Raw genomic sequence first — 23176 nt, 5'->3', positions numbered from 1 at the left:
GCTTACTGCAACCTCGGTTCACTGCAACCTCCGCCTCCCAGGTTCACGCCATTCTCCTTCCTCAGCCTTCCTAGTAGCTGGGATTACAGGTGCGCACCACCACCCCCAGGTAATTTTTGCATTTTTAGTAGAGACGGGGTTTCACCATGTTAGCCAGGATGGTCTCCATCTCTTGAATTTGTGATCTGCCCACCTCAGCCTCCCAAAGTGCTGGGATTACAGGCATGAGCCACCGCGCCCGGCCTGTTGTTTGTTTTTGAGATGGAGTCTCGCTGTGTCGCCCAGGCTGGAGTGAAGAGGCAGGGTCTCGGCTCACTGCAGGCTTCCCCTCCCGGGTTCATGGGATTCTCCTTCCTCAGCCTCCTGAGTAGCCGGAACGGCAGGTGTCTACCACCACGCCTGGCTAATTATTTTTAGTAGAGACCGGGTTTCGCCATGTTGGCCAGGCTGGTCTCAAACTCCTGACTTCAAGTGATCCACCCGCCTCGGCCTCCCAAAGTGCTGGGATTACAGGCGTGACCCACTGCACCCAGCCTCACTCTTTGTTTTTATCCAAGAGAAATAAAAACACAGGTCCACAAAGAAATTGTAGAAGAATGATCCTGGCAACTTTGTTCATATTAGCTCAAAACTGGAGGCTGGGCATGGTGGCTCATACCTATAATCCCAGCACTTTGGGAGGCCAAGGTGGGTGGATCACCTGAGGTCAGGAGTTCGAGACCAGCCTGGCCAACATGGTGAAACCCTAGTTCTACCAAAAAATAGATAAAATTAGCCAGGCATTGTGGTTCATGCCTGTAATCCCAGCTACTTGGGAGGCTGAGGCAGGAAAACCGCTTGAACCCGGGAGGTGGAGGTTGCAGTGAGCCGAGATCGTGCCACTGCACTCCAGCCTGGGTGACAGAGCAAGACCCTACCTCAGAAAAAAAAAAAAAAAAAAAAAGCTGGAAACAACCCAAATGCACATCCCCCGGGGAGTTACGTTATTCACAAGGAGAAGCACCCTCTGCAACAAAAAGGAACCAGCAAGCACAGGCTCCCTGTTACTCCCTGTGGTGCAGGAGGCATTTTTCTGAGGGCATTAAGCACTTCAAAGTGTGCCTGTGGTGGGAGTGCTGTGTGGGCAGGACCAGCACTGGGTGGGATGTTGGGGGCGGGGAGCTCTCAGCTGCCTGCCCCTGCCCCCATGCCCACACTCTGGCAGTCTCTGGTGGGCCAGAAATGATGAGTGCTCATTTCTCTTCCACCCTGCAGGCACAGTTGGCGGGCAGCTCCCAGGTCTCCATGAGTACGGCGCCGTCGGGGGCTCCACACACACGGCCACTGCAGCCATGTGGGCCTGTCAGCACTGCACGTTCATGAACCAGCCAGGCACAGGCCACTGCGAGATGTGCAGCCTCCCCAGGACCTAGGGCGCCTGCCCTCTGCTGGCTAGGACCGGGCCCAGCCCAGCCCTTCCTGAAGCCAGAAGCGTTGCTGAGTGTGTTCCCTGTAACTGCCCCATAGTGGGCAGCCCTGGAGGAACAAGGGGCTGGCTGTCCTGGGCTCCCTGACCCACTGAAGCTTCTCAGCACGTTCCTCCCTGGAGAGCGGGCGCCACGGCTGGTATTCTGCAGGCTGAATGCAGTCTCCAGACTGGAAACGCAGAGCGGCTCCTCACGCCTAATCCTGTTGACAAGTCCCCCGCCGTGTTGGAAAGACCTCTCGCCTCTACGTGGCACCTGGAATTGGGGCGCACAGGGAGGGGCCGATGCTGCCACCACCCAGCCTTCTCTTTATTTTCAGTGCTTTTTGTTTGGCCTCCCTGCCCCCATGTTTTTCTGGCTGGGAGCTCTTGGTTACCCCCTTGTCTGACTGCTTGGTGGCAGGCACCCTGCCTGTGAGGGCCACTTTCCTCTTCTAGTAGCTGTTGTCTGGTGGGGACGCAGTGGCCCTGGACACGGCTCCCCTCTGCAGGTCTGCAGGTCGGTTTGCTGCCTGCCCTCCTCCTCTCACCCGATGTCCAGGTGGGATTTTAAAGTCTGCATTGGTTATAATAACAGTTATCAGTAATTCCTGCCCAGAAGACTTTTATTTATTTTTTTTTAAGATAAAAACTGCACAAAAGGGGAGTGAGAGAGACTAGTTTCCACATCCTTCCCTCCTTTAGTGAAGCCCCCGAGGTTGTGTCCAGGGTGATGAGTGTGGACGGGGGCACCAGTCAGTTCTCCCTTGAAGTAAACCTCAGTGCCTGAGACTTTTCTACCAAGCCACACAGCTGCAGCAACTGCAGATACTGCGGGCTGAGCAGGAGCAGTGGTGGCGCCTGCCCTGAGGCTGCCCTGCGATGGCCTGGGTGGGAGAGCTGGGTCACCGGTGCCGATGCTCTGGCCCTCCCCAATACGCTGCTTCGTCCCACTGCACCGCCTGGCTGAGGGCGTTAGGGGCTGTGCCTCTTGTGAGGGCCATTTGGGACCTCCCTGGGGCACTGCACAATTGATAGTGTACCAATAGAGGGAGACTGGGCGATCTGGAACAGCACGTGGTGGGGTCCTGCTTGTGTGCTCTGCGTTCCTCTGTGGCGTGGCCAGGCCGGGGCATGGCTCTTACCCGGGGAGTGGTGGGCATCTCGATGCTTCTTTGCCTTAATGATGGCCACATCTGGGCTGCTCTGCACCCACGGGAGAGGCTGGCCCAGCTGCAGACTGCTTAGGGACTTCTGTGTCCATCCTGGGGGGTAAGCCCACGTGACCCACATTCTTGGCACTATGAACAGAGAACATTTGCCTGTTGGCTTCTGAAGTGGTCAGGGCCATGGCTGACACCTCCAGGTCCGCCTGGCATGGGACACCAAGTGGAAGGCCCAAGCAGCTCATCTGCTCTTGGGACCAGGGGCCAGTTGGGTTGGGTCTGGTCACGGCAGAGCTATTGTGGAGGGTCAGGAAGGGTGGAGAGGAGCTGGGTTGAAGCGGACTGCTGCGGATGCAACTCCCAGCTTGCCCACCGCGGGCTGTCTGCTCTCCCTCCTAGCAGCTGTCACACTGAAGTTTTGTCCTCTGCTGTCTCCTCTGGTCCTGAGATGAGCTGTGAGCCTAGGTGGCCAAGGCTTCCTGCATTGCTTCCCTGTGAGTCCAAGGCCTTCCCCCACCACTGGGCAGAGGCTGGACAGCACGGACTTCTAGAGAGAGCCGCGTTGCCAGTTCCTCTCCCACTCGCTCGTCCTTATCCACCACGCTATTATAGTTTCCGTTGTCCTCCACCAGCATTTCCCTTACTCTGAAGTTCCGGCATTCACATCATTCATGTTTTCTTTTGTCTTTTAGCTAAAGGAAAAGCATTGGCGATTTGTCTGATTCTGGTTTTGAGTTACTCTTTGTTCAGTAATGCACTTTATTTTATTGTCCAAAGAGAGTCAGAGCTAAGCATACAGGCTTGGGGGTGAGCCCTGCTGTGAGAGTTCAGGCCCTGGGAGGCTCAGCCACCTCCTCTTGTGGGAAGGAGGTCTCAGCCCCACCTCGCATCTTCACCTGCCCTTGGTGTGGACACACCCTCTCATGCTACCAGCACCATAATCCAGTGGGGGTGACTGGGTGCACACCTGCCCAGGTGAACACAGCGGCTGCCAGTCTCCTGGTCCCGAGAGGAGGTGGGGCCTGGCCCTGGCTCCCTCCAACCAGCTGCTCCTGGGACACAGGTGCTCCTGCTTCGGCTCTGTTTCGGCTCACAGGTGTGCATCACTGGGCTTGGATTTGCATTACATTGACCCCAGCCCTGCAGTGGAACCTAATAAAAGCGCCTGAAGCAACTGCCTGGTCCTGGTGTGTCCTTCCTGCGCACTCAACTGTTGTCTGGCATCTGCTCAGTGTGGGGGGATTTGATAACTTGTCTCCAAGATATCACTGTTTTACGTGTATGTGCATGGTCCATTTAAAGGTGGGGATCCCACTTCCCCAGCCGATCCCTCCCAACCTTGGCTCCTCGATAAGTTTCTTAAAGTGCTAACATCTGGGGGAGGAGGAGAGTGCGTCAGTGTTTGACGGCCCCGCCGCCCTTGGGTGCCTCTTCTGCCTCTGCCGCACCTGTCAGCCCTGCGACTGCCCCACAGTCACTGCTTTGTGGACAGGTACATGTGGTCAAACAGCAGGTGAAGGACAAAGCCCAGGAAGGCCAGACTGCACAGGTGCAGCAAGGAGTGAGGCCTGGGGGTGACACACTGCCTGTGTTCCTGCTTGAGCTGTCTTTCCCTGTGACAACAGAAAGCGTCTAGAACAAGTGCTCTCTGAGCCTCAGATAGGAGCCTGGCAGTCACTGTTCAGCACCACTTTGTCCTTTGGTCAGTGACTCATAGCTGACTTGAGCAGTTACTAAAAAAAACTCCAACTAATTTCTGAAGGAGGGCCCTGGGGTGAAGCAGGCCACAGGACAGTGACCAAGGTGTCCTGGCTTCTGGACTCCAGGAGCGAGAGGGTGAGTCCCCCAGCACCCGGACTCCAATCCTGCACCTTCAACACAGTGCAGTTCACTCGATTTACCCACAGCTCCTGGGATCGCTTGAGCCCAGGAGGTTGAGGCTGCAGCCAGCTGTGATCGCAAGTCCAGCCTGGGCCACGGGGTGAGACCCTGTCTGAAAAAAAATTTAAAAAGCTGAGGTGAGGAGGCTCGGGGAGGTTGTATCAGAGAAAGCAGCAGCCTGGGCCATGCAGTGAGCCAGTACCTGATCATGGCCGTCTTATGTGAGAGCCAGTGAAGATCCTTGGCATCCTCTTTGGTTCGATGTAAAGATAAAAGCCGGGCGCAGTGGCTCACACCTGTAATCCCAGCACTCTGGGAGGCCGAGGCAGGTGGATCACCTGAGGTCAGAAGTTCTGGCCAACCCGGTGAAACCCTGTCTCTACTAAAAATACAAAAACTAGATGGGCCTGGTGGTGCACACTTGTAATCTCAGCTACTTGGGAGGCCCAGGCTGGAGGATCACTTGAACCCCGGGGGCAGAGGTTGCAGTGAGCTGAGACTGTGCCACTGCACACTCCAGCCTGGGCAACAGAGCAAGACTGTCTCAAACAAAAAAAACAAAAAAACTGGGTGTGGCAGCTCACACCTACAATCCCACCACTTTGGGGAGGCCAAGGCTGGTGGATCACTTGAGGTCAGGAATTCAAGACTAGCCTGGTCAACATGGTGAAACCCAATCTCCACTAAAAAATAGAAAAAATTAGCCAGTGTAGTGATGTGTGTGCGCCTGTAATCCCAGCTACTTGGGAGGCCAAGGTAGGAGAACTGCTTGAACCTAGGAGGCAGAGGTTGCAGTGAGCCGAGTTTATGCCACTGCACTCCAACCTGAACAGTGTAAGACTCTGTCTCAAAAAATAGGCCAGGCGTGGTGGCTCATGCCTGTAATCCCAGCACTTTGGAAGGCCGAGGCAGGCGGATCAAGAGGGCAGGAGATGGAGACCATCCTGGCTAACACAATGAAACCCCGTCTCTACTAAAAATACAAAAAAATTAACCGTGCATGGTGGCAGGTGCCTGTAATACCAGCTACTCGGGAGGCTGAGGCAGGAGAATGGCGTGAACCTGGGAGGCAGAGCTTGCAGTGAGCCGAGATGGCACCACTGCACTCCATCCAGCCTGGGCGACAGAGTGAGACTCCATCTCAAAAAAAAAAAAAGACTGTCTCAAAAAATTAAAAAAAAATTTTTTTTAATCTGTCATCCAGGCTGGAGTGCAGTGGCGTGATCTCGGCTCACTGCAAGCTCGCCTCCCGGGTTCACACCATCCTCCTGCCTCAGCCTCCCGAGTAGCTGGGACTACAGGCGCCGCCACTATGCCCAGCTAATTTTTTTGTATTTTTAGTAGAGACGGGGTTTCACTGTGTTAGCTAGGATGGTCTCGATCTCCTGACCTTGTGATCCTGCCCGCCTCGGCCTCCCAAAGTGCTGGGATTACAGGCATGAGCCACCGTGCCTGGCCAAAATTAAAAAATTTAAAACAGTTCTGGATGCCACTCCCCCATTAAATCAAGCAAATTGTACTGCTTAGAAATAGAACTCAGGCCCGGGGTTCGAGACCAACGTGGCCAACATGGCGAAACCCTGTCTCTATTAAAAAAGACAAAAAATTAGCCTGGCGTGGTAGTGTGCACCTATAGTCCAGCTTTTCGGGAGGCTGAGGCAGGAGGTTGGCTTGAGCCTGGGGTGTTGAGGCTGCAGTGAGCCGAGACTGTGCCACTACACTCTAGCCTGGGAGACACAGTGAGAACCTGTGTGTGTCAAAAAAAAAAAAAGGGAGAAGTCGGGTTCCTGGGTCCCTGCCTCACCTTCCTGCTGTGTTCTCCTTATTGGGCTGTGCTGCTCTGAGGAGAGGTCCCTCAAGGCCCAGCCCTCCTCGCCCTCAACACAGCCTGAAGCTTCATGGTTTTTCTCCCCTCAGTCTGACCTAAATTGACTCCTTCATATACTTCGTGCTTAGGGAGATGATAACACCTCCAAGTTGGGCATAGAAACGCAGTGTCCAGCGGTCTGCGCTGCTGTCTCGAAGGCTTCCGCTAGGAGTGTGTGCATCTTCCACACCCACGGACAGAGAGGCTGCCTCAGCCCTCATCACTCTTCGCCAAGTACAGGTGGGGCACGGCACAGCCCAGCAGCTGATGGAGAGCCGGCCTTCAGCCCTTCGCTTGTGTCTAACTCACCCCCTTTCCCCTGGGATCCATGCTTAAGGTCCCCCACATGACTACTGATCATAAATCTTGTTGCAGATAGGAGCTGGGCTTGGCGTGGGGCCAAAAGCCTGCCAGCCCCCGGAGCAGAGTGGGGTGGGCAGCGGAGTAAACCGCGGGGTGAGGCTGCTGGTTTGGCGGGCCTTCTCCCACGTCCGTTTCCTCCTCCACGTGATCGTGATCATTTCCTCTAGGACAGTCTTGGCATGTTACCATCCGTATGGAAGAGATGGCCTGGGAGGACTGGATGGGGTTGGTGTGTGTGAGCGAGTGACTCACAAGGCTTCAGAGGGTTAAAACTAGCAGTCAGAAGACCTGCGGATTCCTGTGGGGAAATTCGGTCAGAAGACCAGCGGAGGATCCCTGTGGGGAAATTCACAACGATGCGGCATCTGACTTCCTGACTCTGAAGGCCAAATGAGATGCACCTGGCCCTCCTCTCCCCACTCCCCAGCATCAAAGACAGCATTTCCAGCCCAAACACCTTCAGAGCAGCCCTGGCGAGAAGAGAGGAGCAAGGAACTGACTCCAGGTGCCGCACTTGAGTCTGTCTAACCCAACATTCAGAATCAGACATCCCCGTTGCCTTGGGGTCAGTCCCCACCCCAACCTCAAAGGGGGGCGGTCAGGATGTCTGCAAGTGGTGCTTTGTGCTCCAGCAGGTGCACCCGGACTCCACGATGTCTGCCTAACTTCCAAGCCCAGTTTTGCAGCCCTGCCCCTAGATTCTCCCTCGAGGGTGTCTGGCCTTAGCGCTCTTCAGATTGGCTTCTTAAACGGAGGGAGGCGGGCCGGGGGCGGGGTTCCTTGGTCATTTACTTGTGAATGGTGTGCCTGGTTTCCGCTCTCTTCCGGGCATGGAGCAGGTGTCCGTACTGCAGGCCCCTCCACGGGCGTTCTCTGGTCAGTACTTCTCTCCTGGAGGAAGTGGAGAGCTGCCAGGAGGGAGAGGGTGGAGGTATCTTGCCCTGGCTCACAGTCATTTTCTTGTCCTCTGCCCCCAACCCAGAAACCCCATTGGTGTACTCCCTGTCCCCACGTGTTCAGCCACGGAGGGAGGGACGCACTTCCACCTAAGCTGGCTCACTCCGCTGGGCCCTGAACGCGGGGGCGGCCGGGGCGGCTCGCAGAGCACAGGGCAGAGACCCATCCCTAGGACGACAAGAGCCGGCGCTGCCCCACCCCGACCCCGGCTGGAGTGCGCTCCGGCAGGACCCAGCTGCTCTCCGAGAGCCCAGAGAATCGAGGCGTTTACGCAAAAGCCCGAGTAGCTGAGCGCTTGCTCCGGGGAGACGCCCCGCCCAAGAGCAACCTCTGCTCGGCCAGGACCCGCTTCCCCACCCTGGGGAACCCGTGCAGCAGCCGGGGCCATGAAGCCGCCGAGGGCTCCCACCAGCCCGGCCGGGTCAACCTCGACCTGCGGCACGGTGCCGCGGCCCCTAGGAAGGCTCCCCTGCTCCCCGTGGGTACCAGCGACCGCCCCAGCTCCCGGAGTCCCTGCAGCGCGTCCTTTCCGGCCCGCCCCCGGCACCGCCGACCGCTTTACGGCGGAGGTCGCGCCGCACAGCGGGCTGCCGTAAAGCGCTCCGAGGCGGAGCCGCCGCCGCGCGGCCGGGGCTTCTCACTCTGACGGGCCCGCGCGCACGATGGCCGGCGCCGCGCCGCGGGTCCGCTACCTGGCGGGCTTCTGCTGCCCTCTCGGGGGCCTGGCGGCGGGCAAGCCCCGCGTGCTGTGCCATGAGGCAGAGGTCTTCCTGTCCACCGGGAGCGAGCTCGTCTACGTGTACGACCAGGAGGGCGGGCTGCTGACCGTGAGCGCCGGCCCGCGGGGGCGGGAGGGACCGGGCGGGGGCGGCGGTTCGCGTGAAAATGAAGACCGCGGGCCCGCGCGTCGCGTCGGCCTGACCCGCGCCCCGGTCCGCAGGCGGCGTTCCGGTTCCCCGACCAGGTGTGGCACCTGGAGCTGCTGGCGCCGCGCAGGTTGCTGTACGCGCTGTGCGCCCGGAGGGGCCTCTACTGCCTGTCGCTGGACCACCCGGGCAGGAGCAGGTGAGGGCGGGCCCGCGGCCTCCCTCCCGCACACTCCTGCTGCCCCCGGACTGCTTCAGAGCGAGCAGCCCCACCTCATCGCGCTTGGGGACCCGGGCTGCCGCCAGCTCTGAAGCCTCGGCCGCCATCCCTGCCCGATTATCTGGAGCCCCTGCCCCCAGCACTCTTTCTGCAAGTGTCTTGCTCACAGTCCTTAGTAAGTGGGGTTCACATGGTTAAGCCCACGGCGGGGCGCGGGATCCTGTCCTTTGGGCCCTGGTGGCCCGGTGCTGTCTGGTGAGACACGCCCCCGAGGTTGGGTCTTTATTGGAGGGAGGAGACAGCAAAGGCACCGTGACCCCGAGTCAGTGATCAGTGGACACCATCTGGGTTGGAAGGAAGCGAGCTCCGGGCAGCCAGGCCTGTCTTCAGTGCAGAGCCAGCAGCTGCTGACCGCGGCCCAGGCTGTAGAGGGGGCAGCCTGTGCACTTTGCAGCCTGGGCCTCAGCCTGACGGTTCTATGCTGACAGGTGTCGGTTCACGCTGGTTTTGGATGCCTGGTACTTCTTGTCAAGAGTATCCTTCGTGGGGAAGGTGGGAGGCCATGTGGCAGATGGACTGCTGAGCGGCCTTGGGGGTCACTGCGGGAACCCCTGAGCCAGACTACTCCATGCCAGGTTATTGTGAAGAGAACGTGGGAATCCCACCCTGCCCAGGCCTGACCAGTGCGTCCCTGTTCTCAAAGGTCTACGAGCCAGGATGACAGGGACAGCGAGGACGGTGACCAGCCTTCCCCCGTGATCCCTGTGGACCCCGATGCCTGCATCCTTCCCGATGCTGCGCTGTGCGCGTTCACCTTGCTGGACAGTGTGCTGGTCACCCTGGTGCAGGGCCCTGCCCGATGGAAGATGCAGCTGTTTGAGCAGCCCTGTCCTGGGGAGGACCCCCGGCCAGGAGGCCAGATCGGTGAGGTGGAGCTGTCCTCCTACACGCCCCCAGCCGGGGTCCCAGGAAAGCCTGCAGCCCCCCACTTCCTTCCAGTGCTGTGCTCTGTGTCACCATCAGGCTCCAGGGTCCCGCACGACCTCCTCGGGGGCTCCGGGGGCTTCACGCTGGAGGACGCCCTCTTCGGGCTCCTCTTTGGAGCTGATGCCACCCTCCTGCAGTCACCTGTGGTCCTCTGTGGTCTCCCTGATGGCCAGCTCTGCTGTGTGATCCTGAAGGCCCTGGTCACCTCCAGGTCAGCCCCTGGTGACCCAAATGCCCTTGTCAAGATCCTCCATCACCTGGAGGAGCCCGTCATCTTCATAGGGGCCTTGAAGACAGAGCCACAGGCTGCAGAAGCTGCAGAGAATTTTCTGCCTGACGAGGATGTGCACTGTGACTGCCTGGTGGCCTTTGGTCACCACGGCCGGATGCTGGCCATCAAGGCCAGCTGGGATGAGTCCGGGAAGCTGGTGCCCGAGCTGCGGGAGTACTGCCTCCCAGGCCCTGTGCTCTGCGCTGCCTGTGGCGGGGGTGGCCGCGTGTACCACAGCACCCCTTCTGACCTCTGTGTGGTGGATCTGTCTCGGGGAAGCACCCCGCTGGGCCCTGAGCAGCCCGAAGAAGGCCCGGGAGGCCTGCCCCCCATGCTGTGCCCAGCCAGCCTGAACATCTGCAGTGTCGTCTCGCTGTCCGCGTCTCCCAGGACGCATGAAGGTATGAGCTGCTGTCTAAAATGAAAGATGGGAGCCCAGGGTGGAGCACCCTTTTTGGCTGTCTGCTACTATCAGGCCGCCTTCCTTTCCTGGGCTTGTTCTTTTGCAAGGCTGACGGGTGCTGATACAGCCTAGTGGTTAACTCTCTTGTCTCAAGGTCAAGCCAGGGGCTGGTGGTGGGCCTACCTGTTGCTCTGCCTCTGGGGTCTAGGGTGTGGCCCTGGGCCTGGTAGGATCTGAGTTTGCTGCTTGCTGGCTGTGGACTTGGAGGAAACTGCATCTTGGGGGTCCACCGCAAGCGCCTCCTGGGCAGGTCTTATGTGGCAAGCAGCCCAGGGAGGTCTGTTCCGGACTTGCCTTTCTTCCAAAGGCTGCAAACGCTTGCTCGTGTCATGGTGTGGCTTGCCCGTGAGTCTGCTCTGGACCAAAGGCAGATGGCATTGTGGAATTCTAGTTTTGTGTTTTCCACAGAAAAAGCCAGAGAGGGTTTTAGCTGTGTGTGCCCAGTGTTGGGGTGAGAGGAATAGAGCCACACACCTCCTACCAGTGCACTTCCCCAAGTGTGCTCACCTTGTGAGCATGCTAATAAATCTCGCCACAGAAAATACATACACAGCAGGAGAGAAGGGCTTTGAAGGGAAACGCCAGACTGTCTCCACTGCGGAAGAGAGGGCTACGGGTGGGATCAGAGATGGCGTGGCTCGGGGCCACTGACAGAAGCCCAGGGTCGGGACAGTGCATTTGCCTTGGGACTTTCTCTTCCTCACTGGACACTGGCCTTGGCCGTCTTCCAACTTCTTTCCTGGAGTCCAGGGAAACACCACCGAGTGTCATGCTGCTTGCCCCTCCCAGCCGCTGACCAGGCCCCATGTGTGTCTGTCACCAGGTGGCACCAAGCTCCTGGCCCTGTCCGCCAAAGGCCGCCTGATGACCTGCAGCCTGGACCTGGACTCTGAGATGCCTGGCCCAGCCAGGATGACCACAGAGAGTGCAGGTCAGAAAATAAAGGAGCTGCTGTCTGGAATTGGCAACATCTCTGAGAGGTGAGCAGCTCAGCTCGGACCGGGTAGAGGCTGGCGCTGCCATCCTTGGGAGGTAGCGTCCCTGTGTGGGGTCGTCCTGGGTGTGAGTGTCCTCGGGTGGCAACGGTCCAGGCCAGGCCATTACTTGGCCTCTTTTTTTTTTTTTTTTTTTTTTTTTTTTTTTTCTGAGACGGAGTCTCACGCTGTCACCCAGGCTGGAGTGCAGTGGTGTGATCTCGGCTCACTGCAAGCTCCGCCTCCCGGGTTCACGCCATTCTTCTGCCTCAGCCTCCCGAGTAGCTGGGACTACAGGCGCCCGCCACCACGCCCGGCTAATTTTTGGTATTTTTTAGTAGAGATGGGGTTTCACCTTGTTAGCCAAGATGGTCTTGATCTCCTGACCTCGTGATCCGTCTGCCTCAGCCTCCCAAAGTGCTGGAATTACAGGCGTCAGCCACCGGGCCCGACCCTACTTGGCCTCTTTTTTTGAGAGAGAATTTCACTCTGTCGCCCAGGCTGGAGTGTTGTGGTGCGATCACGGTTTAATGCAACCTTCGCTTCCTGGGTTCAAGTGATTCTCCCGCCTCAGCCTTCTGAGTGGTTGGGATTACAGGCACCTGCCACCATGCCCGGGTAATTTTTGTATTTTTAGTAGAGATGGGATTTCACCATGTTGCCTAGGCTGGTCTCGAACTCCTGGATTCAGGTGATTTGCCTGCCTTGGCCTCTCAAAGTGCTGGGATTACAGGCGTGAGCCACCGTGCCCGGCCGTTACTTGTCCTCTTAAGATGTCTTGAGAGCCTCATGCGTCCCACTGTTTGGTGACAGGCTACCTGGCTACCTCTGGAAGATAAGCCGGGACTGCCCCCCAGCAGCCCACCCTTTCTCCCTAGTGGGGCACGGGAGACGTCCCCTGCTGAGTCCTCACCCTCCCTGCTCTCAGCACAGGATCCAGTGTGCTTTTCCTCCCGCAGCACTGGCTTCGGGACGTTCAGAGAGAACACACTGAGTGCGCGCAGCCTCCCCTGCTCCCCTCACATAACCACTGGGGTCCCGAGAGCGAGGGGCCTGTCACTCCGGGTCCCTGTGGTTTAGGGCTGTTTCTGTAGCGCCTGCGACCCCCCTGGTTTTCACTGTGAAGGCTGCAAGGGAGAAAAGAGGCCCACTAGGAACATTCTGGGGAGCCAAGGGTGGGGTAATGCACCACCCGGCCCCTGCGTGGCCCAGATGTGGGTGGTGCGCTTCTCATACCTGGCAGATTAGCCTAGGTCCCCGGAGCACCAGCTTCATCCTCTGTCCTCTTTCCTCCTGTGGCCCAAGAGGAGAGGTCAGGTCAGATGGCTGGAGGCAGCTTCCAGAGAGGCTCGGTGTGGGTGGGGCCGGGAGAAACATGCCCCTGGGGCGGGGGCTCACTCTCTGGCGTGGCTCCACACCCACCGTGTGCTTGTCGTGGAGCCAGGCTCGGTGCCTACCAGGCCTGAGTCAAGATGTGGCACCTGGTGCTGTGGGTGTCCCCCCGCTCCCGGGGGTCATGTCTGTCCTTCGCAGAGTGTCTTTTCTAAAGAAGGCGGTTGACCAGCGGAACAAGGCACTGACAAGCCTCAACGAGGCCATGAACGTGAGCTGTGCACTGCTGTCAAGCGGCACGGGCCCCAGACCCATCTCCTGCACCACCAGCACCACCTGGAGCCGCCTGCAGACACAGGATGTGCTCATGGCCACCTGCGTGCTAGAGAACAGCAGCAGCTTCAGCCTGGACCAGGGGTGGACCCTGTGCATCCAGGTGCTCACCAGCTCCTGTGCTCTCGACCTGGACTCGGCCTGCTCCGCCATCACCTACACCATCCCCGTGGACCAGCTCGGCCCCGGTGCTCGGCGGGAGGTGACGCTACCCCTGGGCCCTGGTGAGAACGGCGGGCTCGACCTGCCCGTGACCGTGTCCTGCACGCTGTTCTACAGTCTCAGGGAGGTGGTGGGCGGGGCCCTTGCCCCCTCAGACTCTGAGGACCCCTTTCTGGATGAGTGCCCCTCCGACGTCCTGCCCGAGCAAGAGGGTGTTTGCCTGCCCCTGAGCAGGCACACAGTGGACATGCTGCAGTGTCTGCGCTTCCCTGGCCTGGCCCCGCCACACACACGGGCCCCCTCCCCACTCGGCCCCACCCGAGACCCTGTGGCCACTTTTCTGGAAACTTGTCGGGAGCCTGGCAGCCAGCCAGCAGGACCCGCCTCCCTGCGGGCCGAGTACCTGCCCCCATCTGTGGCTTCCATCAAGGTGTCGGCGGAGCTGCTCAGAGCTGCCTTGAAGGACGGCCACTCAGGTTGGTGGCACTGCTTGGCTTTGCTCAGCCTTGGGGATTTTTTTTTTTTTTTTAAGAGACAGGAACTTGCTCTGTTGCCCAGGCTGGAGTGCAGTGGTGCAATCATGGCTCACTGCAGCCTCGAGCTCCTGGCCTCAATTGATCTCCTCTGGGCCTCCCAAAATGCTGGGATTACCTGCATGAGCCACTTCACCCCACCCACCTCGGGCCTGTGGACATGGGCTGTTCCTCCCTCTCCCAGCTGCTCCTGGGGCATCCTGGCCCCCCAGCCCAGCGAGCTCTGCTCAGGAAATGAGCTTCGCCTGCGTTCTCTCTGCTGTTGGGCTCTGGCCTTATGTGGAGCCCTCTCACCATGTATTTCTTTTCAGTTATGTTTTTTAAACCTATATATGGAAGCGTAACCTAAATACAGAAGAGTCACAAAGGAGCAAACTGTGAGCTTCACAGTGCGGGCACCCGGGGAGGGAGGCAGCTGCGCTCACCCCAAAGCCCCAGCACCGTTCATCAGGCATGTGTGAGCTCCACGAAATGGAGTGTGCAGTCCCTTCTTTGTGTCTGTCCTTTGCTCCCCCATGTGTGTGAGACCCTCTGTGTCGCAGGTGCAGATGTCACCGTTCTGCTGCAGATGGGTATTTGGATGGTTTCTGGATTTGGGCTTGTGCAGAGAGGGCAGCCGCAGCCATCCCCTGGGGTGTTTCTGCCCAGTGCCGGGCGGAGCTGCCTGCTCCTAACATCGGCTCCCAGGAGCATTAGCAGGTCCCCCAAAGTGAGGTTTTCACCTTCCACAGATCGTAACTGCCACCACCCAACGTAGGACTTGTTCAGCAGAGAAAGTTGAGCAGTGGCCTCCTTCCTCTGGGTCAGCTGGCCACGCCGCAGCTTAGGGTGGGGCTGGGGACAGCTGGGATGCTTAGATGGCTCTGGGAAGGGCACTTTGGGGCAGGTATGCAGATGCCCACCTGGTAGGATCGGCTGAGCCCACCTGGTAGGATCAGGCTGAGCTCTCGGCTGATGCCTCCCCTCCAGGCGTGCCCCTGTGCTGTGCCACCCTGCAGTGGCTCCTTGCTGAGAATGCTGCTGTGGACGTCGTGAGGGCCCGAGCACTATCTTCCATCCAGGGAGTGGCCCCTGATGGCGCCAACGTTCACCTCATCGTCCGAGAGGCAAGCAGGGGTTCAGGGAAACGAGCCACGGCACCAGCAGTTCTTGGGGTGGGGCCCCTGGGCCGGAGCTCGGGAGGACCCCTCACCCTGGGTGGGGGCCTGGCAGCCTTTTCCCAAGCTTCCCGGAGGACTCTGATATGACAGTTTCCCCTCGCACCAAGCAGACCCCACTCAGGCAGGGAGGGCCTTGCAGCTCAGATCCCCGAGGACTGGCCCTGTCCATCCCTGTCTGCCATGGGGGTCCCCTTCCCCTGCACAGGACTGAAGTCATAGCGGGTTCCACAGTGCTGCCACCAACACCTCTACCCCAGGAGCAGCAGCCCCGCTAACCCTCTGCACTGCCAGAAGGCTCCAGACCTGTCGTGGAAGCCGCTGAATGGCAAATGGCACTGCTGGTCTCCAGCCCCTGTCGTGCACACCTTTCCAGAGACTCAGGACTGTGGTGCCTCCAGCACACTCTCAAGTCCCACCAGCAAAGGCGCTTGCAGGGTAGCCCAGGCTGCCAGGACACGTGTGTCCCTGAGGATGGGCAAGGCTGCCTGGGGCTCAGAGTCTGCACTTGGTTTTGGTTTTCTTTGAGACAAGGTCTCGCTCTGTCTCCAGGCTGGAGTCCAGTGGTGCGATTTTGACTCACTGCAACGTCTGCCTCCTGGGTTCAAGCGATTCTCCTGCCTCAGCCTCCTGAGTAGCTGGGATTACAGGCACCCACCACCACACCCAGCTAATTTTTGTGTTTTTAGTAGAGACGGGGGTTTCACCATGTTGGCCAGGCTGGTCTTGAGCTCCTGACCTCAGGTGATCCGCCCACCTCACCCTCTCAAAGTGTTGGGATTACAGGCGTGAGCCACTGTGCCCGGCCCAGAGTCTGCACTTGGAATCAAGCCTCGGCCCTCGGGTACCTTGGCTGCCCTCTACACAGCCCTTTCAGCCCTGATGCTGGGGTCTGTTGGTGGCCCGGCAGGTCGGTGCTGGCGGCCCCTGTGGGAGAGCCGCAGGTGACTGTGTCCTCTCTGGGCTCCCCAGGCCCCTGGCGTCTCACCTCTTGTGCTGTGTGTGCAGAATAAGCCCGGCTTCCTGGCTCTTGGCCTGTTCTTGCCATTTGTTGTCCAGCTCAGCTCAGTCCAACCTTCCTAAGGGACAGGTGGGTGTCCCATAGATAGGCCCAGCAGCTCCCAGTGCCCACAGCGATGCCCTAACCCTGCTGCCAGAGGTGATCTGTGATGCCTGGTGTGGGGGGACGGATCTGGGCCCCCCAAGGGCGTGGCAGGATCTACATGTAGGTTGTCCACAAGGTGTGTCACAGTAGTGGCCTTCTTCTGGAGCAGGCCCCAGTCTGGCTCGAGGCCCTGCGTGAATTCCACAGGTCTGAGGGATGGTGTCTTCCTGGACACACCTGGGTACAGAGCAGGTTCTTGCCATTGGTTGGTGGCTGGTTCTTCAGGTGGAAAAAGCTAAACCAGGGTACTGAGCTCTGCTCCTTCAGGGTATAGGACAGCCCAGGGCAGGGGGTTGGGACCATCTCAGGGCCTCACGTGCTGCCAGCTGGGGAGGCTCCTGTGTAGCCTGAGCCCCCCGGGCAGGTGGGAGTGCCACAGGCAGGCAGTGAGGTGGCTCCTGTGTTGCAGGTGGCCATGACTGACCTGTGCCCAGCAGGGCCCATCCAGGCCGTGGAGATTCAAGTGGAAAGCTCCTCTCTGGCCGACATTTGCAGGGCGCACCATGCCGTTGTCGGGCGCATGCAGGTATGTCGGCCCGCTGGGGAAGGTGGCCAGGATCTGTGGGTCGCTCACTAAGGTCCCTGCATGGGACCCTGTAGCTGCTGGCCACGGGGTCTGCGGCTCCCTGCAAGGGAGTTGTAGGAAGATCCAAGTCTGCTCTGCCGCTGAGTGCGGTGTTGTGCAGTGGAGCTGTGGGCGATGAGAGGCATGGGGTGGACCCTCTCAGGAGGCCAATGCTGCTCCCCAGGTGTGCCGTCACCCCCTGGGCACCTGTGAGTCCAAGGACTGCCCGGGCTACAAGGCCAGTGGGTTTCTATTTGTGACCTGCGAGGTCAGCCCAAGGTTTCCTCCCTTCTCTGGCTGGGCAGAGGCTGCCTGGAGAGGCCGTGGCCTGGGCGTGGATCCTAGAACGAGGTGGTAGGAGCCTCCACATCTTTGCCAAGAGAGTGGAGTTTGCAGTTCCCCCCACTCACAGCCCCAGGAGTTCCCTGGCACAGGAATAGCTGCTTCCATGCTGTGCCCAGAGCCAGCTTGGGTCAGCGGCTGCCAGATCTGAGAAGAAGCTCTCCAAGTTCCAAGCTAAAGTCTAAGCTCGTGCCCGCGGGAAGGCATCCGTCACGCCCGCCCGCTAGGACTGTAGCGCAGCTTTGGCCCATATGGTGGGTCTGCAGCGACCCTAGAAACCGGTTCCGGAGTTTCTTTTTAGGGGTGGTCCCTGCCTCAGCTCCACCTGGGCTTGTTATCAACGTGCATGCCCAGGCCTGCCCAACCCTGAGACCCAGGGCCTGCAGCCTGACGCCAGCTTGACTCCCGTGGGCACTGTGGTAATGCTTGGAGACCAGGCCTTTCTGTGAACAGTGGCTCTGCCCAGCCCTGGCAGGTGGCTCAGATGGCCGACCCCAATGAACACATCAACTCACGCAGCACCATGACCCAGAGATCTCATTTGGTGCAAGGACCCTGTGCCCTGCACTGTGACACTGCCATGACCCTGATGAGCATGTCACGCAGCACCATGACCCCAGTGATCTCACGGCACCACGATGGGGCTGCCTGGGCTTGGGGGTCTAGTCCTGAGTGCTGGGGGCACCAGGGGGTTCTCCAGAGCTGAGGTGTTGCCTGTCAGAGGAAACTCTGCCCACTGGACCATCTGGTCCCCAAGAAAGTCCCATCCCCTGCCAAGAGCAGAGCTCCAGCCCCTGGGTTTGTGTCCAGATATCCCTTTTCTTACAAGGACACAGTCGTGTGGGGTCAGACCCACCCCAGTGACCTCATCTTGATCATCTGCAGATACCCCATTTCCAGACACAGCCAGGCTCTGAGTGCTGGCACTAGGGCTTCCGCATGAATCTGGGGGGCCTGAGTCAGCGCCCAGGAGCCCATGCACTGCTGCTGCCTCCTGGACACAGATCTCATCTCAGGCTGCAGACCTTAGTGTCCCCCAACAGCTAGGTGCCCGCCCCAGGAACAGGAGTGATCAGGACCCTGCCCAGCACACAGTGCAGCCACCAGCACTTCTGGAGCCCCCGGCAGGCCAGTGCTGCCCCTCAGGGTGTCGTCTCTTCACAGTTGCTTTGCTCCAAGAGCCTGCAGGAGCCTCACTGCCCAGGCTCATCTGGAAATTTAGTTTTATTTGTTTGTTTGAGATAGAGCTCTGGCTCTGTCACCCAGGCTGCAGTCCAGCGGTGAGATCTCTGCTCACCGCACCCTCTGCCTCCCAGGTTCAAGCAATTCTCCCTCAGCCTCCCGAATAGCTGGGATTACAGGCTCTGTCACCACGCCTGGCTGATTTCATATATATATATATATATATATATATATATATATTTTTTTTTTTTTTTTTTTTTTTTTTTTTTTTTTTGAGACGGAGTCTCACTCTGTCGCCCAGGCTGGAGTGCAGTGGCGGGATCTCGGCTCACTGCAAGCTCCGCCTCCTGGGTTCACGCCATTCTCCTGCCTCAGCCTCCCAAGTAGCTGGGACTACAGGCGCCCGCCACTACGCCCGGCTAATTTTTTGTATTTTTAGTAGAGACGGGGTTTCACCGTTTTAGCCGGGATGGTCTCGATCTCCTGACCTTAAGTTATCCGCCTGCCTCGGCCTCCCAAAGTGCTGGGATTACAGGTCTGAGCCACACCTGGTCCCATCTGGGAATTTAGATCCAAGCCCAGGGAGCCAGTGCTGCAGCCCACACTGGGCTGGGCTGCGTGAATGAGTGAATGGCCAGGCCAGGGTCTCTGCACAAGACGCCGAGGCAGCTCCCTGGCTGGTCTGTTCTCCTGAGCGGCCTTCAGGCCTGAAGCCCAGGATGGGAGAAGGGGGCGGTAGGCAGGTCTGGATCTGCACAGAGTGTGGCTCTTGGGGACAGGGAAGATCCCAGCGATGGAGAGAAAAGAACCAAACGAGTTCGCTTCCAAGAAACTGTCAGGCCAGGGGCTCTGTGCCCTGCCGCTCTGGAGGGCAGGAAGTCGAGATGAACAGCAAGGTGGAAAACAGCAAAGCGCTGGGGTGGGGAGGGGTGCCAGGCAGGGAGGCAGCACCAGGCAGCTCGAGGGAGAGGGTCACCCTGCTCCAAGGGGTGTGGGGGCAGGTGCTGGGGCACACCCTCTCCAGCATGTCTCCTGTGTCCCCCAGACGATGGTGACAGAGCAGGCCACCCAGGGCTCCAGCGCTCCTGATCTCCGTGTGCAGTACCTCCGCCAGATCCACGCCAACCACGAGGTGAGCACCCGGTTCCCCGGGCAGTCCCCTTCCCCTGGGTAGCCAGGAGCGCCCATCGCCAGGCCCCCCTCTAGTCACTCGGGGTCCGCAGAGTCCTCACAGCGCATGGGCTTCGCTCCCATGGGCCTGGGGCAAAGTCCGAGCGGCCATGGCTCTTCCTGCCCCTCATCCTACTTGAGGGGCTGGGTGTCCGGGCCAGGCTGCGTGTCCCATGTTTTAAGGTTCCGGATGAGTGTTCTTCCTCGGACCACCTGCCACTTCCCAAGTAGGGTCCTGCGAGTGGTGGGTCCCCCAGAGGTACCCAGTGACATCCCCAGGGCCAGGTGGGGGGCCTGAGCTGTGTCTGCTTCACCTGCAGACACTGCTGCGGGAGGTGCAGACCCTGCGCGACCGGCTCTGCACGGAGGATGAGGCCAGCTCCTGTGCCACCGCCCAGAGGCTGCTACAGGTGTACCGGCAGCTGCGCCACCCCAGCCTCATCCTGCTGTGACCAGGCGGGCCTGCCCCTGGGCTCTGGCCACGCTTCCAGCCTCTGTCACAGCCCCCCCAGGCCTCATGGGTTAGAGGGAAACCGAGCTGGCCTGGCCAGAGCCGTCAGGGAAGGTAGGACCTGGCCACGTAGGAGCAGAACGCTCATGAAAGTGCTTGGAGGCCGTGGAGCACAAAGCAGATTCTGATTGGGAGCAACCGAGGCGGGCTCTGAACCTGGCCGGTCCAGCTTCGCGTCCTCTGCTGGTGTCTCTCCTTCTCTGACCGCGGCCGCAGCCCCTGCACTCGCCTTCCTCACTGCTGGGCAGCCTTCCCACCACCGCAGCAGCCCCTGAGGCCAGGAGGCAGTGCAGGGCATTCTGGACCCGGAGGGCCAGAGAAACAGGATTTCTGGGGTTTGGACTTGGGGTGAGTTTGTAACTGTTGCTGCCACACCACCAGGAGCACCGGCTGCCCCTCTGGGTGGCACTACCAGGTGCCCCACGGTACCCTTGTCACACTGTTCACACCTGCCCGGCTGCCCACTCTGGGACCCCGAGGTAGGAGGGTGCTCCCTGAGACCAAAGCACAAAACAGCATGCAGGGAGCTCCTGCAAGTGCCCGTGGTCTCGTGCCACACCAAGGAAGGGCCAGCGGGTGGCCTGTGGCCGGAATGCTCAACAACTAGGTGCCTCCAGCCGGGGCAGTACCCAGCACTGTGCACTATTTTCAGGGCCACTCAGGGTGGCGCTGTGGCCCGGGGGGGGGCCCTGAGCCCCAGCCCCCAGCCTCCTCCCTCAGCCTGGGCTACGGCCCACCTCCTGGTGCTGGTGTTTTCATCTGGGGAGGGTGCTCGCGCCGCTCCCGCTGCAGGCACTGTCCGCGATGAGTGCGGGTAGGAGCCGTGAGGTGCTTCTCTGCTGTGACAAACGACCCTGTCTGTCCGTGAACCTTCAGGCCTCGGCTGTTTTCTCTCACCCCTTCCCACCCTCTCTCACTGGGCTCCTTCCAGAGCCCTGGCGCTGCTTGGGAGCCCTCACCACCGGGGTGGCCTCTGAGGAAGACGCGTCCCTGTGACCCAGTTACCCCTGAGGAGGGCTCTGCTGCAAGGGGGTGTCTGGGAGGCCTGGGGCCCCTGCCTGGCTCTCCCCTGCGTTCCTCTCTGTGGAGTGGGAGGGGCCTGTGGGGTGCTCCTAGTCAGGGTTTGTCTCCCTCAGTGGTTGCCACATCTAAGGGAGCACGGCCGCCCTGATGACACTCCAAACCCGGCCTCTTCAGCGGGTGGAGACAGTCCAAACCCAGCATTTTCAGTGGGTGGTGACACTCCAAACCCAGCCTTTTCAATGGGGCCATGGCCCCGTGCTTGCTGGGAGAGCTGGGGCCAAGCGAGCCACCCACCGAGGCAGGCCTGCACCCCTTAACGGTCCCATCCCTGCTGTGCTCCAGGGCTGTCCTCTGCCACCCGTGGGCAGGAGCTTCTGGCTCTGACCTTTGTACAGCGCTTGTGCCCGTGTCTTGCTCTGAGCATCAGGGCTCGGAGAGTGAGGGGCTAGACCAGCCCGTGGGGACTCCCAAGAAGGCCCTAGATGAGCGGGCGGAGGACTGTGCAGGGTCTGTGTTCACACGCCTGGGGGAGGGGTGTGTGTCCAGGGCTGTGCCAGCCCCTCACTCGCCATCACAGGCCACAGGGATCCCAGAGCTGACAGATCTGGGTCGCCTGCAGGACTCATCTCCCCACCCTCAGCTGGATGCCAGCAGGTCTCAGGAGGCTGGGAGCCTGAGGGGCCTTCCACGGGGCTGCTGTCTGTGCAGAGCAGTGGCACCATCCAACCCTGTCAGCCTCAGCTGTGCAGGGGGTGTGGGGGCACCACTGTGGCTTGTGAAAGAGCAGACACAGGGATGAGCCGCACTGGTGTCCCCACACCCCCGGGCACACACTGGGGGTTTAGATAGCTTGCTGTCCTTGGCACTGCAGCCTCCTGAACTAAGGCGGTGCTGGCCACCAGGGCTGAGACGGCGTCCCCAGCTGTCCTGACCTCTGTTGGGGCATTCTCCAGGGCCACCCATGTGGAGGCATCAGTGCTGGTGTGTTTACAAATGTTCATGCCCACCTGCCAGCCTGAGATCCTGCTGTGGGGACGCCTAGTTCAAGACGCCATGTGGTCCCCCCGAAAAGAAAGCTGCGACGCAGACCCTGAGGGGCCAAGAGAGCAGGTCACGTGGAACAAAAAGGAGATCTACAGCGGCAGGAAAGGAGGGACCACAGTGGGCAGTCCCCAGCCCCGCTGTGCCGCCAGAGTGTACAGGGACTGGGCGAAATGTACCCAACTCACATGCACCTCCAAGGAACCTGCTCTCAACACTCGGCATTTGAGGAGGGCTTGGCCTCAGAGGCAGGTGGCAGGTCCACAATCAGCTTCTCGGGGAGCCTGCGGACCACGGTGTGGCCGGGCCCTGTCGCCCATCCTGGGCCTCCCTGCCCTCACCTCTTCAGTGCACACCTCCTGGGCTCTCAGCACCTGAGCTCTCACTACGTGAGGCCCTTCCCCGGTGGCAGGGGCGGCCTCTCGACCTTTCCAGCTTCCTCCACCTGCTCCAACTCCGATCCTGGCTTGACACCGTAGCCTTGCATGACCCTCAACCCAGCTCACACGTGGGGTGAGAGCAGCTGTTCTTCCCCCTCCTCCTAGGAGCATGTGCTAGACGCCACCTGGCAGCTGCTGGCAGCTGTCTCTGCATGGAGTAGCACCTGCCTCAGCAGCAGCAGTGGGCCCCCCGCTTCCAGGCCCAGCCATTATTCCGTTCCAAAGGGTTTCTTTGACCTCCCACCCCACCCTCCGCTTCCTAGCCTCTGCCTCCCGCCGTGCCCCAGGCTGTGGATGTGGACGGAAGTGGGGGTTCCCGCAGTGGCAGGCCAAGTTCACGTCAGGCAGGGCAGTGCAGGGAGACAGACCCTCTCCGAGGCTCTGCTGAGCGGGGAGCCTGGAGGTGCTGAGTGCCAGCCACTGCGGTTCCACCTGGTGCCCCCAGTCCCGCCCCAGCCACAGACTCCACCTCACCTTGGCTGCCACCAGGGGACACTGCAGGCTGCAGGGACAGCCCGAGCTCCAGGGTCACTGCCGTTCCCTGCCAACTTGGACCAGGTGGCACCTGGTCCTCCAAGGGTTAACTCGGACCCGCCTTGCCCACGTGGCTCGGGGAGTTCCAGCCTCTTACCATGGAAACCTGCCCTTCTTTGTCCCTAAGGCTGGTGGGCTTAGTGGAGGGGCATCCCAGCCAGTTCCTCCCCTTGCTGGCCGTGCTGGTCCCACCTCCCCAGGACTGGCTCTCCCCCACCCTCTGCCAC

At 60.0% G+C, this 23176-nt stretch overlaps 2 protein-coding genes and 1 long non-coding RNA gene across 13 annotated transcripts in view, besides 12 other annotated features; 2 read left to right on the top strand and 1 right to left on the bottom strand.

The window, feature by feature from the left end:
- The window catches only part of NPLOC4 (NPL4 homolog, ubiquitin recognition factor), an 80228-nt gene extending 76442 nt beyond the window's left edge, over positions 1-3786 (top strand). For 4 of the 7 annotated variants that reach the window (NR_130140.2, NM_017921.4, NM_001438810.1 and 1 more), the window contains one exon: positions 1255-3784. Coding sequence is in view for 5 of the 7 variants with exons in the window: in NM_017921.4 (NP_060391.2) it covers positions 1255-1412 (158 nt within the window). In the remaining 2 variants the exon portion in view is untranslated. Of the gene's footprint in view, positions 1-1254 lie in introns of all 7 variants that reach the window. The other 3 variants (NR_130139.1, XM_011524980.2, XM_047436368.1) reach the window with 1 other exon arrangement.
- Positions 959-1458: an enhancer, noted in NCBI's record as "H3K4me1 hESC enhancer chr17:79526239-79526738 (GRCh37/hg19 assembly coordinates)". NCBI's record gives its function as "activates a minimal SCP1, AML or CMV promoter by ChIP-STARR-seq in naive H9 embryonic stem cells {active_cell/tissue: H9 hESC(naive)}" and the evidence as "EXISTENCE:reporter gene assay evidence [ECO:0000049][PMID:30033119]".
- Positions 1459-1960: an enhancer, noted in NCBI's record as "H3K4me1 hESC enhancer chr17:79525737-79526238 (GRCh37/hg19 assembly coordinates)". NCBI's record gives its function as "activates a minimal SCP1, AML or CMV promoter by ChIP-STARR-seq in primed H9 embryonic stem cells {active_cell/tissue: H9 hESC(primed)}" and the evidence as "EXISTENCE:reporter gene assay evidence [ECO:0000049][PMID:30033119]".
- LOC124904085 (uncharacterized) lies at positions 3352-8312 on the bottom strand. Its single transcript, XR_007065947.1, has 2 exons — positions 8165-8312; positions 3352-7629 (listed from the first exon to the last, which is right to left on the bottom strand). It is a non-coding gene; the product is annotated as an uncharacterized LOC124904085 (long non-coding RNA).
- Positions 6687-7262: an enhancer, noted in NCBI's record as "H3K4me1 hESC enhancer chr17:79520435-79521010 (GRCh37/hg19 assembly coordinates)". NCBI's record gives its function as "activates a minimal SCP1, AML or CMV promoter by ChIP-STARR-seq in naive H9 embryonic stem cells {active_cell/tissue: H9 hESC(naive)}" and the evidence as "EXISTENCE:reporter gene assay evidence [ECO:0000049][PMID:30033119]".
- Positions 7312-7381: a silencer, noted in NCBI's record as "silent region_9139". NCBI's record gives its function as "represses an Ori minimal core promoter by ATAC-STARR-seq in GM12878 lymphoblastoid cells {active_cell/tissue: GM12878}" and the evidence as "EXISTENCE:reporter gene assay evidence [ECO:0000049][PMID:35858748]".
- Positions 7392-7471: a silencer, noted in NCBI's record as "silent region_9138". NCBI's record gives its function as "represses an Ori minimal core promoter by ATAC-STARR-seq in GM12878 lymphoblastoid cells {active_cell/tissue: GM12878}" and the evidence as "EXISTENCE:reporter gene assay evidence [ECO:0000049][PMID:35858748]".
- Positions 7538-20780, top strand: FAAP100 (FA core complex associated protein 100). 5 transcript variants are annotated; one of them, NR_033338.2, is made up of 9 exons: positions 8318-8505; positions 8619-8939; positions 9468-10423; positions 11309-11465; positions 12993-13762; positions 14789-14925; positions 16551-16667; positions 19276-19362; positions 19721-20780. NR_033338.2 is itself a non-coding variant. In XM_006722111.3 (9 exons), exons 1-9 carry the CDS (start codon positions 8341-8343, stop codon positions 19850-19852), a joined length of 2232 nt encoding a protein of 743 aa, XP_006722174.1. In that variant the 5' UTR covers positions 8318-8340; the 3' UTR covers positions 19853-20780. The 5 variants fall into 5 exon arrangements, 4 of the variants coding, with proteins under 4 accessions (XP_047292804.1, XP_006722174.1, NP_079437.5 ...); XM_006722111.3 differs by having other exon boundaries at positions 8619-8743; positions 12993-13348; NM_025161.6 differs by having other exon boundaries at positions 8619-8743.
- Positions 7792-7911: an enhancer, noted in NCBI's record as "active region_12971". NCBI's record gives its function as "activates an Ori minimal core promoter by ATAC-STARR-seq in GM12878 lymphoblastoid cells {active_cell/tissue: GM12878}" and the evidence as "EXISTENCE:reporter gene assay evidence [ECO:0000049][PMID:35858748]".
- Positions 8052-8211: a silencer, noted in NCBI's record as "silent region_9137". NCBI's record gives its function as "represses an Ori minimal core promoter by ATAC-STARR-seq in GM12878 lymphoblastoid cells {active_cell/tissue: GM12878}" and the evidence as "EXISTENCE:reporter gene assay evidence [ECO:0000049][PMID:35858748]".
- Positions 8352-8591: a silencer, noted in NCBI's record as "silent region_9136". NCBI's record gives its function as "represses an Ori minimal core promoter by ATAC-STARR-seq in GM12878 lymphoblastoid cells {active_cell/tissue: GM12878}" and the evidence as "EXISTENCE:reporter gene assay evidence [ECO:0000049][PMID:35858748]".
- Positions 8652-8751: a silencer, noted in NCBI's record as "silent region_9135". NCBI's record gives its function as "represses an Ori minimal core promoter by ATAC-STARR-seq in GM12878 lymphoblastoid cells {active_cell/tissue: GM12878}" and the evidence as "EXISTENCE:reporter gene assay evidence [ECO:0000049][PMID:35858748]".
- Positions 10058-10853: an enhancer, noted in NCBI's record as "H3K4me1 hESC enhancer chr17:79516844-79517639 (GRCh37/hg19 assembly coordinates)". NCBI's record gives its function as "activates a minimal SCP1, AML or CMV promoter by ChIP-STARR-seq in primed H9 embryonic stem cells {active_cell/tissue: H9 hESC(primed)}" and the evidence as "EXISTENCE:reporter gene assay evidence [ECO:0000049][PMID:30033119]".
- Positions 19344-19844: an enhancer, noted in NCBI's record as "H3K4me1 hESC enhancer chr17:79507853-79508353 (GRCh37/hg19 assembly coordinates)". NCBI's record gives its function as "activates a minimal SCP1, AML or CMV promoter by ChIP-STARR-seq in naive H9 embryonic stem cells {active_cell/tissue: H9 hESC(naive)}" and the evidence as "EXISTENCE:reporter gene assay evidence [ECO:0000049][PMID:30033119]".
- Positions 22201-23172: an enhancer, noted in NCBI's record as "H3K4me1 hESC enhancer chr17:79504525-79505496 (GRCh37/hg19 assembly coordinates)". NCBI's record gives its function as "activates a minimal SCP1, AML or CMV promoter by ChIP-STARR-seq in primed H9 embryonic stem cells {active_cell/tissue: H9 hESC(primed)}" and the evidence as "EXISTENCE:reporter gene assay evidence [ECO:0000049][PMID:30033119]".

This window comes from Homo sapiens, chromosome 17, assembly GCF_000001405.40.
Source record: "Homo sapiens chromosome 17, GRCh38.p14 Primary Assembly".
Taxonomy (NCBI): Eukaryota; Metazoa; Chordata; class Mammalia; order Primates; family Hominidae; genus Homo; species Homo sapiens.
Note: the sequence above shows the minus strand (reverse complement) of the source record. Positions and strands in the feature narration are given on the sequence as shown.